Source organism: Homo sapiens, chromosome 2 (assembly GCF_000001405.40).
Source record: "Homo sapiens chromosome 2, GRCh38.p14 Primary Assembly".
NCBI lineage: Eukaryota > Metazoa > Chordata > Mammalia > Primates > Hominidae > Homo > Homo sapiens.
The window spans coordinates 121,801,885-121,816,623 of NC_000002.12; the positions used below are offsets into that span (position 1 = coordinate 121,801,885).

Here is a 14,739-nt window from a genome sequence, read left to right on the forward strand (position 1 = left end):
TCAGTTTGAATGAGAAAAGACAATCAATAGATGTCAACACAGAGATGATACAGAAATTAGATGGTAAAGCAGTCATCATTAAAATGCTGCAATAAGAAATTACAAACATGTTTGAAACAAACGAAAAATAAAGTCTTAGCAAGGCAACTGAAGGTATAAGGAAAAGCAAATGAAAAGTTTAGAACTAAAAAATACAATAACTGAAATAAAAAACTCATTGTGTGCACTCAATAGCAGGATGAATAAAAAGATGAAAGAATTGGTGAACTTGAAGACAGAACAAAAGAAATTACCTGATTTGAACAGTGGGGAAACAGATGGAAAAAAAAATGACAAGAGCCTCAGGGATCTGTGGGACAACAACAAAAGATCGAATATTTGTATTATTGGAGTTCCAGAAGGAGATAAGGAAGTATGGGCTGAAAAAGATTTGGAAAAATGACGATTGAAAACTTGCCAAATTTGGCAAAAGACACAAACCAAACTTGGCAAAAGACACAAACCAACAGAGGCTGATGAATCCCAGACAAGATAAGCCCGAAGAAATCCACACTGAAATCATCAGTCAAAAACTAAAGACAAAGAAAAATCTTGAAAGCATCTAGGGAGATAAGGCATTACCTTTAAAGAGATGATGGAGGGGCCGGGTGCGGTGGCTCACGCCTGTAATCCCAACACTTTGGGAGGTGGTGGCAGGTGGAGATGATGGAGGATTTCTCATAAGTGAACACAGAGGCCAGAAGGAAGAGGAACATTTTTCAAGTAAAATGCTGACTTGCTCCAAAATGTCTTTTTCTGCTGCCTTAAACTCACGCCATTTTTTTTTTTTTTTTTTGAGACGGTGTTTTCACTCTTGTTGCGCAGGCTGGAGTGCAATGGCACAATCTCGGCTCACTGAAACCTCTGCCTCCTGGGTCCAAGCAATTCTCCTGCCTCAGCCTCCCAAGTAGCTGGGATTACAGGCATGTACCACTATACCTGGCTAATTTTTTTGTATTTAGTAGAGATGGGGTTTCACTATGTTGGTCAGGCTGTTCTCGAACTCCTGACCTCAAGTGATCCACCCACCTCGACCTCCCAAAGTGCTGGGATTACAGGCAACTCACACCATCCTTAATTCCTTTATTTAAGCATTACCTTCTCCATGAGCATTACTCATAAATTGCAGTCTCATCTTCTTAGTGGAAATGTTAACTTTTTTTCATTAAAGCTTTGTCTAGATAATTCTTAAAAATAATTATTGGGATTAAATATCTTAACTTTTCTAATTGGTTATTGCTAAGTTATGGAAAATCTATTATTCTGAAAATTTAGCTTGTATTCTAGCTACATTGCTGAATTCCTATGAATTTTAATAGTTTTAGAGCTTATTCTTTGTAATTTATAGATAAACAAAATATCACCCAACAATGCGTTCTTCTCTATGCCATTCTAAAATGTCCAATTCTTATTTCCATTTCATGTATTTATAGTATTGGCTAAAAAAATCTAGAAAAAGGGTAATAATAACTGTTGTAGGAAGTAGTCTTGTTTTTAATTTTAACTAGCTGTGTTTAATTTTAACTAGTAGTGTTTTCTAAAGTGTGTTTCATGTGGTTCTAAGGTTTCTGAATGTTTTGGTAATGTTTGGCTAAACAGAATACATATATTATATATATATTTATATATACACTGCACAGCTTCTGAGTCTTAGATAGGACAGTGCTCACTGTGCATTTTCAGGAGGTAAGGGCAGCAGGCAAGGGCCCCTTCCTCTTTTTCGCTTTATTTGTAGAGTCTTTCATGCATCAGTTGTTAGATAGTTGGCCCTCCAAATCTCATGTTGAAATTTGATCTCCAACATGAAAGGTGGAGCCTATTGCCAGGTGTTTGGTTCATGGAGGTGGATCCTTCATAAAGGGCTTGGTGCTGTCCTTGTGGTGACGAGTAAGTTCCAGCTCTCTTGGTTCCCATGAGAACTGGTTGTTGAAAAGAACCTGGGATTTCCTCCCCATCTCTCTCTTCCTTCTTCCCTTGCTATGTGATGCCTGCTCCCCTTCCCCTTCTGCCACGAGTGGAAGCAGCCTGAGGTGTTCACTAGAAGCAGATACAGGCATCGTGCTTCTGATACAGTCTGCAGAACCATGAGCCAGTTAAACCTCTTTTCTTTATAAACTACCCAGCCTCAGGTATCCCTTTCTAGCAATGCAAATGGACTAAGACAGTTGTCTAGGGGCACACTTGGGAAAATGCTGCTTTAGAATTTCCCTGGGATGTATGCTGTGAGGAGTTGGGTTGAAATGATGTTCTCTGTAATCAAAGAAGTATCTTCCTAGTTCTGAAATATTCACTTCAGTTATCTTTGGCTCATGGAATTGGACTGGGAAAGTCAAGTGATTAAAATGAAGTTTTTTTTTTATTCTCATATTATCAAACGGTTTTAAATAAACTGGTATTAGCTTTAAAATTAAACAAGAACCCATGAAATGCAAATACTTCTGGAGAGAGAACATCTTCAGTGTGGATTTGATCAGAATTGTTCTCTGTGAGGAAGGAAGGTGCCATCTGAGAGTTCCTGTGTGTGTGTGTGTAGGGAGCTGAAAGAGGAAGCCAGGACGGAGGTAGGGGTTTGAGGCACATCACTGAGTGGGTGACATCATTTTGATTGGCTGCCAGCCAGAGGCCGTTAGGGGCCTGGGCTTTTTTTCTGCCCGTTTCAATTGTAGCCAAATTCGCCATCAGCAAGTTGAGTGAAAATCTTTTAGGCCAGTTGTTCACACATTTGGTGGATGAAATCAAATATTCGAATCACTTTTTCTGGCATTCAACAAATTCAATTTTTATGTAAAATCATCTCCTAACTCTTCAGAAAGCTGTTTATTTTTCTACTAAGAAGGCACAAGTTCAATGCTCTTTTTCAAATGAATATAATTTCTTGAAAGCCAAAAATTATAGCTTGTAATGATGTTTTTCTTTTCTTGTGATGAAATACCTCTGATCTTGGTCTATTTAATGGCAGCATTTGAATTTTCTTTCTCTCTCTTTCCTTCCTCCCCCCTTCCTCTCGCCTCCCTTTCTTTCTTCCCTCTTTCTCTTTCTTCTTTCCTTCCTTTCTTCCTGGGAGAGGGACATTAGGAGGGGAAACTGTCTCTTCTGAATGGTCTTTTCAAAATGCCTTTATTAAAGTCACCTATTAGTAGGATCTAGGAGATCCAACAAAGAAAAGAAATAACAACAACAGCAGCCACTCCTCCTCCTGCTAATGTCTGTTTACTAAGCACTTTGCATATGAGAGGGACTATTCTAAGTGCTTTGCATGTATCATCTTATTTGAGCCTCACAACATTCCTGTGAGCAGGAATTATCCGTAGATCTGAGGAAACAGAGAGGTTAAGTAATTCACTCAAGATCACACAGTTAGTAAATTACAGAGCCAGAACTTGAATCCATGCATCTTCCACTATCTACTCCAACCAGCTACATTTATTGTACAAATTAGAAATTATGAGTGACTTCAAATTAAGGCATTTCCCTTGAGAGAAGAAAAAAATATGAATCTGTTGATACTCTGGTGGAAAGAGAGAGAAAGCAGGGGAAAGGGGAAGAAATTTCAGAAGAAATGAATCAACAGATGATGTGATGTCAGAACACGGGGGGATTTCACTCCCTTCATTTTACTAGTAAGGAAACTGGGGCCCAGAGAGGGGAGGGGCCAAGTCTTGGTTGCAGCAGGTGTTGGTTCAGAGCCTGGTGTGGAGTCCAGCACTGGTGGTTTCCAACCCAGTCCTCCTCTCCTTCCATCTTACCAGGCTGCCTTCCAAATGATATATGTTTTAAGGCTCCAATTTAGTTGTTTTTAGAATGTCAAAGCCATTAGAAATTCCACGTGATGGAATGAAATTAACGAGAGCCTATTTTCCTTTTCAAAAAGTGGGAGAAGCTCCCAGACTTGTTACTGAAGCTTGAGGACACAACTTGTAGTTCTATTTACATTTACAGCTCGACTTCCGTTTCACATCTCAGAAACTGGGCCCTGATCAAAGCTGAGGCATCCCGTTTCTTTTGTCACTCAAAGATCATATGCAGTATTTTGTGTTATCTTATTGGTTGAGGTCAAAGCCAATTAACTTGGTAAATACTGGGAACTTCCTCACTAAGGAATCCAGACAGACGCTGCTAGGTCTGTTGTAGAACCAGACAAGATTTCCCCCTTCTGGGATTCCCCCCGCCCCCAATTTTTCCGATTTTATGGTTTCTATGGCATCCTGGGCTTCTGCCTGGCATGGGGTTCAGTTTCAGCCACACCACTTAGTGTGTGTGTGTGACTTTTATTAATCACAACAGCTAACACGGTTAATAGCATTTATTTTGTGCCAGATGGTTTTCTCTAGCACTCTCTGTATGTTAACTCATTTATACTTTTAACAACCTTCTCAGGCTGAATAATAGCTCCCCAACGAGGTTCACATCCTAATCCCTGGAACCTGTGAGTATGTTAGCTTAGTTGGCAGAAGGGACTTTGCAGATGTAATCAAATTAAGGATTATTTTGTTTTTTAGAGACAGGAGTCTCACTATATTGTCCAGGCTGGTCTTGAACTCCTGGACTCAAGTGATCCTCCCTCCTCGGCCTTCCAACATGCTGGGATTACAGGCATGAGTCACAACAACCGGCTGAATTAGGAATCTTGAGATGGGAAGATTGTTTTGGATTTGAGTGGGCTCGATGTAATCATGAGGGTCCTTTATGAGAGGGAGGGAGGAGGTCAGGGAGAAGAGAAGATGCTGGCATTGAAGATGGAGGAAGGGGCTGGGAGCAGCTTCAAAAAGCAGAAGCAAATCTTCCCTTGGGGCATCTGGAAGGAACCAGCCCTGTGGATACCTTGATTTTAGCTCCGTAACACTTCATTTAAACCTCTGGCTTTCAGAACCGTAAAAGATAAAATGCGTGTTGCTTTTTTTTTTTTTTTTTTTTTTTTTTTGAGACGGAGTCTCGCTCTGTCGCCCAGGCTGGAGTGCAGTGGTGGGATCTCGGCTCACTGCAAGCTCCGCCTCCCGGGTTCACGCCATTCTCCTGCCTCAGCCTCCCAAGTAGCTGGGACTACAGGCGCCCGCCACTACGCCCGGCTAATTTTTTGTATTTTTAGTAGAGACGGGGTTTCACCGTTTTAGCCAGGATGGTCTCGATCTCCTGACCTCGTGATCCGCCCGCCTCGGCCTCCCAAAGTGCTGGGATTACAGGCGTGAGCCACCGCGCCCGGCCGCGTGTTGCTTTAAGCCGGTACATTTGTGGTAATTTGTTACAGCAGCTATGGGAAACGATTCCAGGTAGGTACTATTATCGTCTTCGTTTTACCTGTGAGGAGACTGAGGCTCAGGCCCAAGGTCACACAGTTAGAAAATGGCACAACTTGGAACAAACGTTTTTCTCTCTGGCTCCAGAGATGGTCCATTTGACTAATATGATGTTTGACCTAAGGCAAGTTACTTAATTTCATCATCCTCAGTTTTCTCATCTCTATTAATCCTTATATTACTGGATAAGAGGACTAAGTGAGATATAACGCATAATATCCTAGGTGTGGTCGTGGTAATGATGATGATGACGACAATAAAAGATGTCACTTGTGAGGCGCAGGAGGTCAGCACTGCACAAGCTTTGGGCGGGAGAGTGTGGAGTAGGGAGAGACCTGGAATGTTTCCCAAAGGGGGCTTCTGCTGGTGTCTTCTGGTCTTCCTCTTCCTTTGGCTTTGTTCTCAGCAGTCAAATGCCTCTTTTCAAACTTCTACCTTAGCAGCTCTCCTCACACGCCAACTCCTTGCTCCAGCCCCACACACATATTCACAACTAGCTCAATTTTTTTTTTTTTGAGACAGAGTCTCACTCTGTCACCCAAGCTGGAGTGCAGTGGCACAATGTAGGCTCATTGCAACCTCCACCTCCTGCGTTCAAGCGATTCTCCTGACTCAGCCTCCCAAGTAGCTGGGATTACAGGCATGCACCATAATGTCCGGCTAATTTTTGTAATTTTAGTAGAGATAGGGTTTCACTATGTTGGCCCGGCTGGTCTGGAACTCATGGCCTCAAGCAATCAGCCCGCCTCGGCCTCCCAAAGTGCTGGGATTATAGGAGTGAGCCACCGTGCCCGGCTGGGTTTCCTCATTTTTTTCAGGCTTGAAATTTGAAGACATTAATAGTAACTTCCCAAGATGCATTTTTTTCAAAAGCATGCATTCAAAAGCATAGCTCAAATTTTTAACCAGCTCTTTTATGCCAAAATCCAGGGGCAGGGCAGACTCCACTTAGGAGACTGTCATCTGTGCCAGGGCTGATGGAGGCCTTTGGGACACCCTGCTTGCTGTCCCAATAGCCCTTGGTCAAGCTGACAGTTCAGACCCAAGTTGAGAGGGAAGTGCTAATGTCAGAATGGGGAATGGAGATTTTGAGAGAAAAGACCAAAAGTAGGTACATATGCGTATATGGAACTTTTATCTGATCCTAAAAGGACTCTATGTTCATTGTCCAAAATATAGAAGTGTATTAAGAGTAAAAGTCTCGCATAATTTTACCACTAGAGAGAATCGCTGTTAATATTTCCCGTGTATTTTCTACTAATCTTTTTTTTCTGCATGTATACATACTGTGAACAGTTTTGTGTCTTTTTTTTGCAGTTAATGGTATATTGTGATCGCCTCTTTATACCATTAAATTGTGTTCAAAGGATGTTATTTTTATTAGTTCTATAAGATATTCTATTTATATTCCATTCTCTTTATATCTAGATGGAAACCAAGAATGAGTCTCACTGGTATTTTAAAGGTTTCTTATGACTTTCTTGTTGATTATTTGGGTCCATTTTTTTTTCTTTTTGGTAGAGCAAGAACCCAGCAGAGTCGAGTTTCAATGGGAGCAGGATGGAGAAGAGGTTGAGAAAGTCCTGTTGCATAGGGGCTGTGCATGTGTGTGTGTATCTTTGTGGAGTGAAGAAGGTGTGGCCTTGATATCCAGAGGTTCCCCCATATGGCATCCATGGGGCTTCTTGGATTCCGCCGTTGTATTTCAGAAGCTCATCAGTTGAAGAAGCTGTACAAAGCTAGTTCTGAGATGTGGCTTTTTGTGGGCTGGGGCCTAATACAGCAAAACAAAGAAACAAGGTTTACAATCTTCCTGATTGGTTTCCTCATTATGTATTTATTTTTGAGACAGAGTTTGGCTCTTTTTGCCCAGGCTGGAGTGCAATGGTGCGATCTCAGCTCACTGCAATCTCTGCCTCTTGGGTTCAAGAGATTCTCCTGCCTCAGCCTCCTGAGTAGCTGGGATTACAGGCGCCCATCACCACGCCCAGCTAATTTTTTGTATTTTTAGTAGAGATGGGGTTTCACCATGTTGGCCAGGCTGGTCTCGAACTCCTGACCTCAGACGATCCACCTGCCTCAGCCTCCCAAAGTGCTGGGATTACAGGCGTGAGCACCGCGCCTGGCCGGGTTTCCTCATTTTTTTCAGGCTTGAAATTTGAAGACATTAATAATAACTTCCCAAGATGCATTTTTTTCAAAAGCATAAGAAGGCTCCAGTTTAGAACAAGTGCTGAGATGGACAGTGAGTCAGGGTCAAGTTCTGGGCTGCCTTTGCACCTGGGCTTGTCTTTATCCTAGCTTGTGGTAGCCATTCTCCAAAGATGACCATGCCTCCCAGTATTTCTTCCCTTGTATAGTCCTTTTCCCTTGAATCCAGGCTAGATCTCTGACTTGATTTTGATCCATAGAATGCAACAGAAGAGAGTGCACGGCTTCTGAGGTTGCAGCTTTTGGGAGAAGCCATCTACCATTGATGACAGACATGCCGTGTGGAAACCAAACCAGCCATGTGGAGAGGCTACCTGGACAGAGGCACAGGGCCAGCAGCAGCTGTGGAGACAGACATGTGAGCAAAGAAATCATCTTTGATGTACAGCCAAGTTGAGCCTTCAGATGACTCCGATTTCAGCCACCTTTGGACTGCAACCACATGAAAGACTCTAAATAGAAGCCTCCCAGCTGATCCCGGTTAACCCACAGTGCTGAAGGGGATAATAATAAATTGTTGTTTTAAGCCACTAAGTTTTGTGGGCCTTTGTTGCATAGCAATAGATTATCCAAACTATTTTTTTTATTGCAAGGTATTCTAGGTGTCTGCTGAGCTCAGGAAACTGGGAACTCCTTCAAGGCAGGGCCTGCATTTTAGCATTTTTGTTATTGTGAGAGCTAAATCCTTCGGCATGGAGAGGCAAACCTGGAATATTCAAACAGTACTTTGTTAGAAGTCTTGGGATAACATAAGAAGCAAATACAGAGAAGTGTATGAAATGCTAATCTGTCTACAAAATGTATCTTATTCATTTTCTGCTGTGGTCCACCATGGGATGCTTCTATTCCAGGCACTTGACCAGCTTCTAGGTGACAGAGGTCATTTTTTTCTTTACATACTTTTGAAAAAGTAAATACACTGATTTAAAATAAATTGGTTTAAAATGGAAAGATACAAAAGTCTCCCTCTCATCCCCATCCACAGCCATCTGATTCCCTCCAAAGGGCTCCAATAATGCCAGTTTCTTGTGTACTGTCCTGGAAATATTTGATCACCTATATAAGCATTTTATATGTGCATATGCTATACATCTATCTGCACATATATGGAATAAATATGCTTATGTATGCTAGCATACTATGTGCACTTTTTTCATATAATAATATATCTTGGAGATCTTCCCATATTGTTCTTTTTTATGGCTACCTAGTATTCTGTTGTTTCATTGTACCACAATGTATTTAATATCCTCTTGTTGAGAGACATTTAGAATATCATCAATATTTTGCTATTAAAAACAACACTGCTATGAATACCATGTGTTATAATATTACAAGTTATACCAGTACCATTTTGCACGTGTGTATTCCTCTGGAGAGTGTATTCCTAAGACTGGCGTTGTTGGGTCCGGCTGTCTGAATTCATGGTTCTCATGGGAGATGGGGCCTTTTCTGGAGAAACTCCATCTGGCCACTAAAATGCCCAGAGACAATACATACACTTAGGGATGCTTGCAGCCACAGCAGGATCTGTTAGCCTCGAGATTCTGATTTCCTCCCCAACAGCCCAAGGCAGGGAGTGCCGGATGGTGAGTTTGTGTGAAGGGCTAGAGAGTGAGGGGCCTCGGAGGGGACTGGCCTGGAAAGATAGAGCATTACACTCTTCTTTAGTGGGGGAACCAGGGAGTTATTTTCCCGTGTACAGCTGAGTTTATCCGGGTACTAGGGTAGCACAAGGACTGACCTACTTGCTGAATCTTACCCATCAAGAAACTTTCCAAAGTTTTCAAGAAGAATAGGCCAGGCTCTGGCCCTGCCTCCTGGCTATTGAAAGTTTAAAAGTATCTTTTCACTCGTGAGTGATCTCCAGCTTAGATTTTTGACCGAATTAGACTGGCCTTTCCCCTAAACTAGAAGCAAAGAAAGAGGCTTTGTAGCGCTGAAGGCCAGCAGGCATTACTTTAGCTCTGTTAGTTGAAGTTCTCGAAAATAGCCAAAAGATGGCACTAGACACGAATGATTCCACCTGGCTTCGAGGCCACCACTGCTTTCAGGGACGCCGCCAAAGCCAGAGCCTGCTTGAGCTTCCTGCCTTTTCCTGAGCTTCTGAAGCACATAATCCTTACTAGAACATGATGTTAATGAGGATGCCAAAAACAGGAAAGGAAGCAGAATGAAAGCAAGCCAACAAACAGAACAATGCCGAGCGAAGAAACAAAATGGTTTTGCTCGTGTGTCAGAGGATGGGCGGGCTCCCACAGCAATGAGAGACCTTTAGGGCAGCTTGCTTGCTCTGCCCCCAGCTCCATCCAGAAGGGTCTTATTCAGGCACTGTGGGTGTAGGCTAGATGGTGGTGGCTTAAGTTTTCATTCTGCATCTCCTAAGAAAGACCTTGCAAAGTCCCAAGCCTTGGAGGCATCTTTGTTAGGGCTACCCTTACACCCTTTGTGGGTCTGGCCTTGGGACCATGGCCTTGGCCTGTCTGCTGCATCCTACATCCCATCTGTCCAGCCATGTGCAGCCCTCACACAGCCCCAGGGCTCCTCTCCCATCTTCTCGAGGGGCCTTCTGCCACCAGGCAGAGTCTGGTCATTCCAGGGTAATTCCCCACAAGAGTCAGGGCTGGGGACCCTCTGGTGTACTGGACTCCACAGCCCCTGGGCATGAAGGTGACAGTGGTGGGGTCAGCACTGATGTAACTGTCATAGCATTGGCACTTCGTAAGTACCTAACGAATAAACCAAACAGCAAACAAAACTCCTTTGTCTGGATGGGACAAAGGAGTTTCAGAAAGTTACAGGGAGGGCTGGTGTTGTGAGGAGAAACTCAGGCCATTGCCTTTATTCCCTCCTGACCACCAGGGCTGATATGGTTTGGCCGTGTCCCCACCCAAATCTCAGCTTGAATTGTATCTCCCAGAATTCTCATGTGTTGTGGGAGGGACCCAGAGGGGGAAGTAATTGAATCATGGGAGCTGGTCTTTCCCATGCCATTCTTGTGACAGTGAATAAGTCTCATGAGATCTGATGGGTTTATCAGGGGTTTCTGCTTTTGCTTCTTCCTCATTTTTCTCTTGTTGCCGCCATGTAAGAAGTGCCTTTCGCCTCTCGCCATGATTCTGAGGCCTCCCCAGCCATGTGGAACTGTAAATCCAATTAAACATCTTTTTCTTCCCAGTCTTGGGTATGTCTTTATCAGCAGCATGAAAATGGACTAATACAATAAATTGGTACCAGTTGAGTGGGGCGTTGCTGAAAAGATACCTGAAAATGTGAAAGTCACTTTGGAATGGGGTAACAGGCAGAGGTTGGAACAGTTTAGAGGGCTCAGAAGAAGACAGGAAAATGTGAGAAAGTTTGAAGCTTCCTAGAGACTTGTTGAATGGCTTTGACAAAGATACTGATAATGATATGGACAATGAAATCCAGGCTGAGGTGGTCTCAAATGTAGATGAGGAACTTTTTGGGAACCGGAGCAAAGGTGACTCTTGTTATGTTTTAGCAAAGAGAATGGCAGCATTTTGACCCTGCCCTAGAGATTTGTTCAAAGAACTTGAGAGAGATGATTTAAGGTATCTGACAGAAGAAATTTCTAAGCAGCAAAGCATTCGAGATGTGAATTGGGTGCTGTTAAAAGCATTCTGTTTTAAAAGGGAAACAGAGCACAAATGTTCAGAAAATTTGCAGCCTGATGATGCAGTAGAAAAGAAAAACCCATTTTTTGAGGAGAAATTCAAGCTGGCTACAGAAATTTGCATAAGTAACAAGGAGCTGTATGTTAATCCCTAAGACAATGGGGAAAATGTCTCCAGGGCAGCCCCTGCCGTCACAGACCCGGAAGCCTAGGAAGAAAACATGGTTTCATGTGCTGGGCCCAGGGTCCCCATGCTGTGTGCAGTGGAGGGACTTGGTGCCCTGCATCCCAGCTGCTCCAGCTATTGCTAAAAGGGGCCAAGGTACAGCTCGGCCCATGGTTTCAGAGGGTGCAAGCCCCAAACCTTGGCAGCTTCCACTTGGTATTGAGCCTGTGGGTGCACAGAAGTCAAGAATTGAGGTTTGGGAACCTCCACCTAGATTTCAGCAGATGTATGGAAATGCCTGGATGCCCAGGCAAAAGTTTGCTGCAGGAGCAGGGCCTTCATGGAGAACCTCTGCTAGGGCAATGGGGAAGGGAAATGTGGGGTCAGAGGCCCCAGACAGAGTCCCTACTGGGGCACTGCCTGGTGGAGCTGTGAGAAGACGGCCACCATCCTCCAGATCCCAGAATGGTTGATCCACCGACAGCTTGCACCGTGTGCCTGGAAAAGCCGCAGACACTCAATGCCAGCCTGTGAAAGCAGCCGGGAGGGGGGATATACCCTGCTAAGCCGCAGGGGTTGAGCTGTCCAAGACTATGGGAGCCCACCTTTTGCATAAGCGTGACCTGGATGTGAGACCTGGAGTCAAAGGAGATCATTTTGGAGCTTTAAAATCTGACTGCACCTGCTGGGTTTTGGAATTGCATGGGGCCTGTAACCCCTTTGTTTTGGTCAATTTCTCTCACTTGGAACAGCTGTATTTACCCAGTACCTGTACCCCCATTGTTTCTAAGAAGTAACTAGCTTGCTTTTGATTTTACAGGCTCATAGGTGGAAGAGACTTGCCCTGTCTCAGATGAGACTTTGGACCATGCACTTTTGGGTTAACGCTGAAATGAGTTAAGACTTTGGGGGACTTTTGGGAAGGCACGATTGGTTTTGAAATGTGAGAACATAAGATTTAGAGGGGCCGGGGTGGAATGATATGGCTTGGCTACGTCCTCACCCAAATCTCAACTTGAATTGTATCTCCCAGAATTCCCATGTGTTGTGGGAGGGACCCAGTGGGAGGTAATTGAATCATGGGGGCTGGTCTTTCCCATGCCATTCTTGTGATAGTGAATAAGTCTCATGAGATCTGATGGGTTTATCCGGGGTTTCTACTTTTGCTTCCTCCTCATTTTTCTCTTGTTGCCGCCATGTAAGAAGTGCCTTTTGCCTCCCGCCATGATTCTGAGGCCTTCCCAGTCATGTAGAACTGTAAGTCCAATTAAACTTATTTTTGTTCCCAGTTTTGAGTATGTCTTTATCAGCAGTGTAAAAACGAACTAATACAAGGACTTATGGAGAATTGCACCTGTGTGAGCCTTGTGGCTTCCGGGGCCTCTCTCCAGTTCTCCTTTTTTCTCTTCCTTCCTTCCTCTCTCCTGAGCGAGGCCTTGCAGAGGATGGAAAGGCCATCACTGCTGGGCATGATGCAGAGCTTTGTTCTCTTTTTTTTTTTTTTTTTTTTTTTTTGAGATAGAGTCTTGCACTGTTGCCCAGGCTGGAGTGCAATGGTGTGATCTCGGCTCACTGCAACCTCTGCCTCCCGGGTTCACCCAATTCTCCTGCCTCAGCCTCCTGAGTAGCTGGGATTACAGGCACACACCACCACACCTGGCTGATTTTTTGTATTTTTAGTAGAGATGGGGTTTCACTATGTTGGCCAGGCTGGTCTCCACCTCCTGACCTCGTGATCACCCAAAGTGCTGAGATTACAGGTGTTAGCTGACGCACCTGGCCAGAGCTTTGTTTTTTTTAAATGTATATACATCTTGTGGAGCGAGACCTGTTAGCTGGAGGGCTTCCTTTCCAGAAACTGAAGTAGCTCTGGGGTGGTGGAGAATGCTCTCTGGCTAAAGAGAGCTGGCCAAGGGCATGGGCAATGGTCTGAAAATGCTGCCTATGGTAGACTGCTGTCCTTCTGTCCCACTGGGTAGTGTATCTGCCCTGCGGAAGAGGGAACATTTCCTTTCCCCAAGCAAGGGGATGCTAAAGGAGAGAGTTTAGGTTTAGACAAAGGTCAGGGGATGGTGGAACTTGTTGGAGCCCAGAGTGGGCTGTGGCCTCCTCCTCCTCCCCAAGACTGGTCCTCATCACTTTGCACCACCTGTTGCACGTTTACTGTCATTGGTTATGTCGCAAGTCTGGGCTGCTTCTGATTCCTCTCGGCGCTTGGTGCAAGTGACGTCTGATGCAGGTATGAGTGACACTCAGGTTATGATATTCCAATAGCCAGGGGCTCCGTGGAGAAGGTGAAGGGCCAGCCACATTAATAAGATTCAAGTCTTCAGCTAGACACGAAAGGAGGAGAGGAATATGAAATACAGAGAAGGAAGAGGCCAAGCAATAGAGAAAAATGAAAATTGTTAGATATTCGGTGAGCCTATTTTCCAGAACCAGGTAAAGCAGGAAATGAATTGGAGAACTGCACAAAGCCTGGCTTTCAAAGACCAGATGTTTCCTGGGGGCAAAAGAAGGGGGAAAAAAAGGGCAGATCCGTCCTATAAAGCAATCCTTTTCTTACTTTTTGAGGATGCCTGGAATGTTAACCAAAATGATGAGAAAACAGTCCAACTTCACATAAAGCTTCTCAAGCCAGGCAGCTCTGTTCCTGTAACACCACCGAGCTGTACAGTCCCTGGGCAGACTCCTCGACAGGGAAGGTGATGGGCTCTTTGCCTGTCTCCGTCAAAGGGGATAAAGAGCATCACTTACTGGCCAGTTAGTAAATGCCAGTTTCTGTGCTAAGTCGTGTACATAGATCTCTTTACTGACAGCACGCATTGCCTCTATGAGCTAGGTTCTACTGTCATCCCCATTTTACAGAGGAGGATACTGAGGCTCTTTAAGGTCATGGAACTTGCTGGAGGAGTCTGCACTGGTACTGAGCCTGACCGGAAGTCAGCATTCAGCCCCAGAAGCTCCACCCAATATTGCTTTCATTAGTAGTGAAATGGATCTTGCTGCTCATGCTCAAATGCATATGTCTAAGCATCCAGAGAAAACCAGGCTCTTAAGTTTGGGGAAAAGAAGACAGAAAAATTGTCCTGCTGCCACTCCCGCCCTCCCTGCTTTCTTGTTGCCTCTGTTCTTCCTGCCTTTTGTCATTTGATGGCTCTCCCTTGGCCCCTGTCAAAGCCTGGCCACCATCAGGGAGAAGGGATAATTGGGGATTGCTCAAAAGCATTCTGAGAGAGAGGTTTTGGGCAGAATAGAAAAAGGAATGATTAGGCCACCCTTGGCCCTCTGTGGCAGGTGGGGCAGGGAAGCACAAAGCCTGTGGTGTTGGCAGTGCATTCTCCTGCTGCTCCCTTTTTCTTCTCTGGAAGCTCCCTCCATCCATCCCTTCTGGG

General features: G+C 44.4%; 1 long non-coding RNA gene across 2 annotated transcripts in view, besides 3 other annotated features; it reads left to right on the plus strand.

Moving 5' to 3' along the window:
- The window catches only part of LINC01823 (long intergenic non-protein coding RNA 1823), a 19,556-nt gene extending 11,482 nt beyond the window's left edge, over positions 1 to 8,074 (plus strand). For both annotated transcript variants that reach the window (NR_183364.1, NR_183363.1), the window contains exon 5: positions 7,745 to 8,074. This is a non-coding gene — a long non-coding RNA (long intergenic non-protein coding RNA 1823). The remainder of the gene's footprint in view (positions 1 to 7,744) is intronic.
- Positions 2,473 to 2,552: an enhancer, noted in NCBI's record as "active region_16473". NCBI's record gives its function as "activates an Ori minimal core promoter by ATAC-STARR-seq in GM12878 lymphoblastoid cells {active_cell/tissue: GM12878}" and the evidence as "EXISTENCE:reporter gene assay evidence [ECO:0000049][PMID:35858748]".
- Positions 9,481 to 9,982: an enhancer, noted in NCBI's record as "H3K4me1 hESC enhancer chr2:122568941-122569442 (GRCh37/hg19 assembly coordinates)". NCBI's record gives its function as "activates a minimal SCP1, AML or CMV promoter by ChIP-STARR-seq in naive H9 embryonic stem cells {active_cell/tissue: H9 hESC(naive)}" and the evidence as "EXISTENCE:reporter gene assay evidence [ECO:0000049][PMID:30033119]".
- Positions 11,743 to 12,311: an enhancer, noted in NCBI's record as "H3K4me1 hESC enhancer chr2:122571203-122571771 (GRCh37/hg19 assembly coordinates)". NCBI's record gives its function as "activates a minimal SCP1, AML or CMV promoter by ChIP-STARR-seq in primed H9 embryonic stem cells {active_cell/tissue: H9 hESC(primed)}" and the evidence as "EXISTENCE:reporter gene assay evidence [ECO:0000049][PMID:30033119]".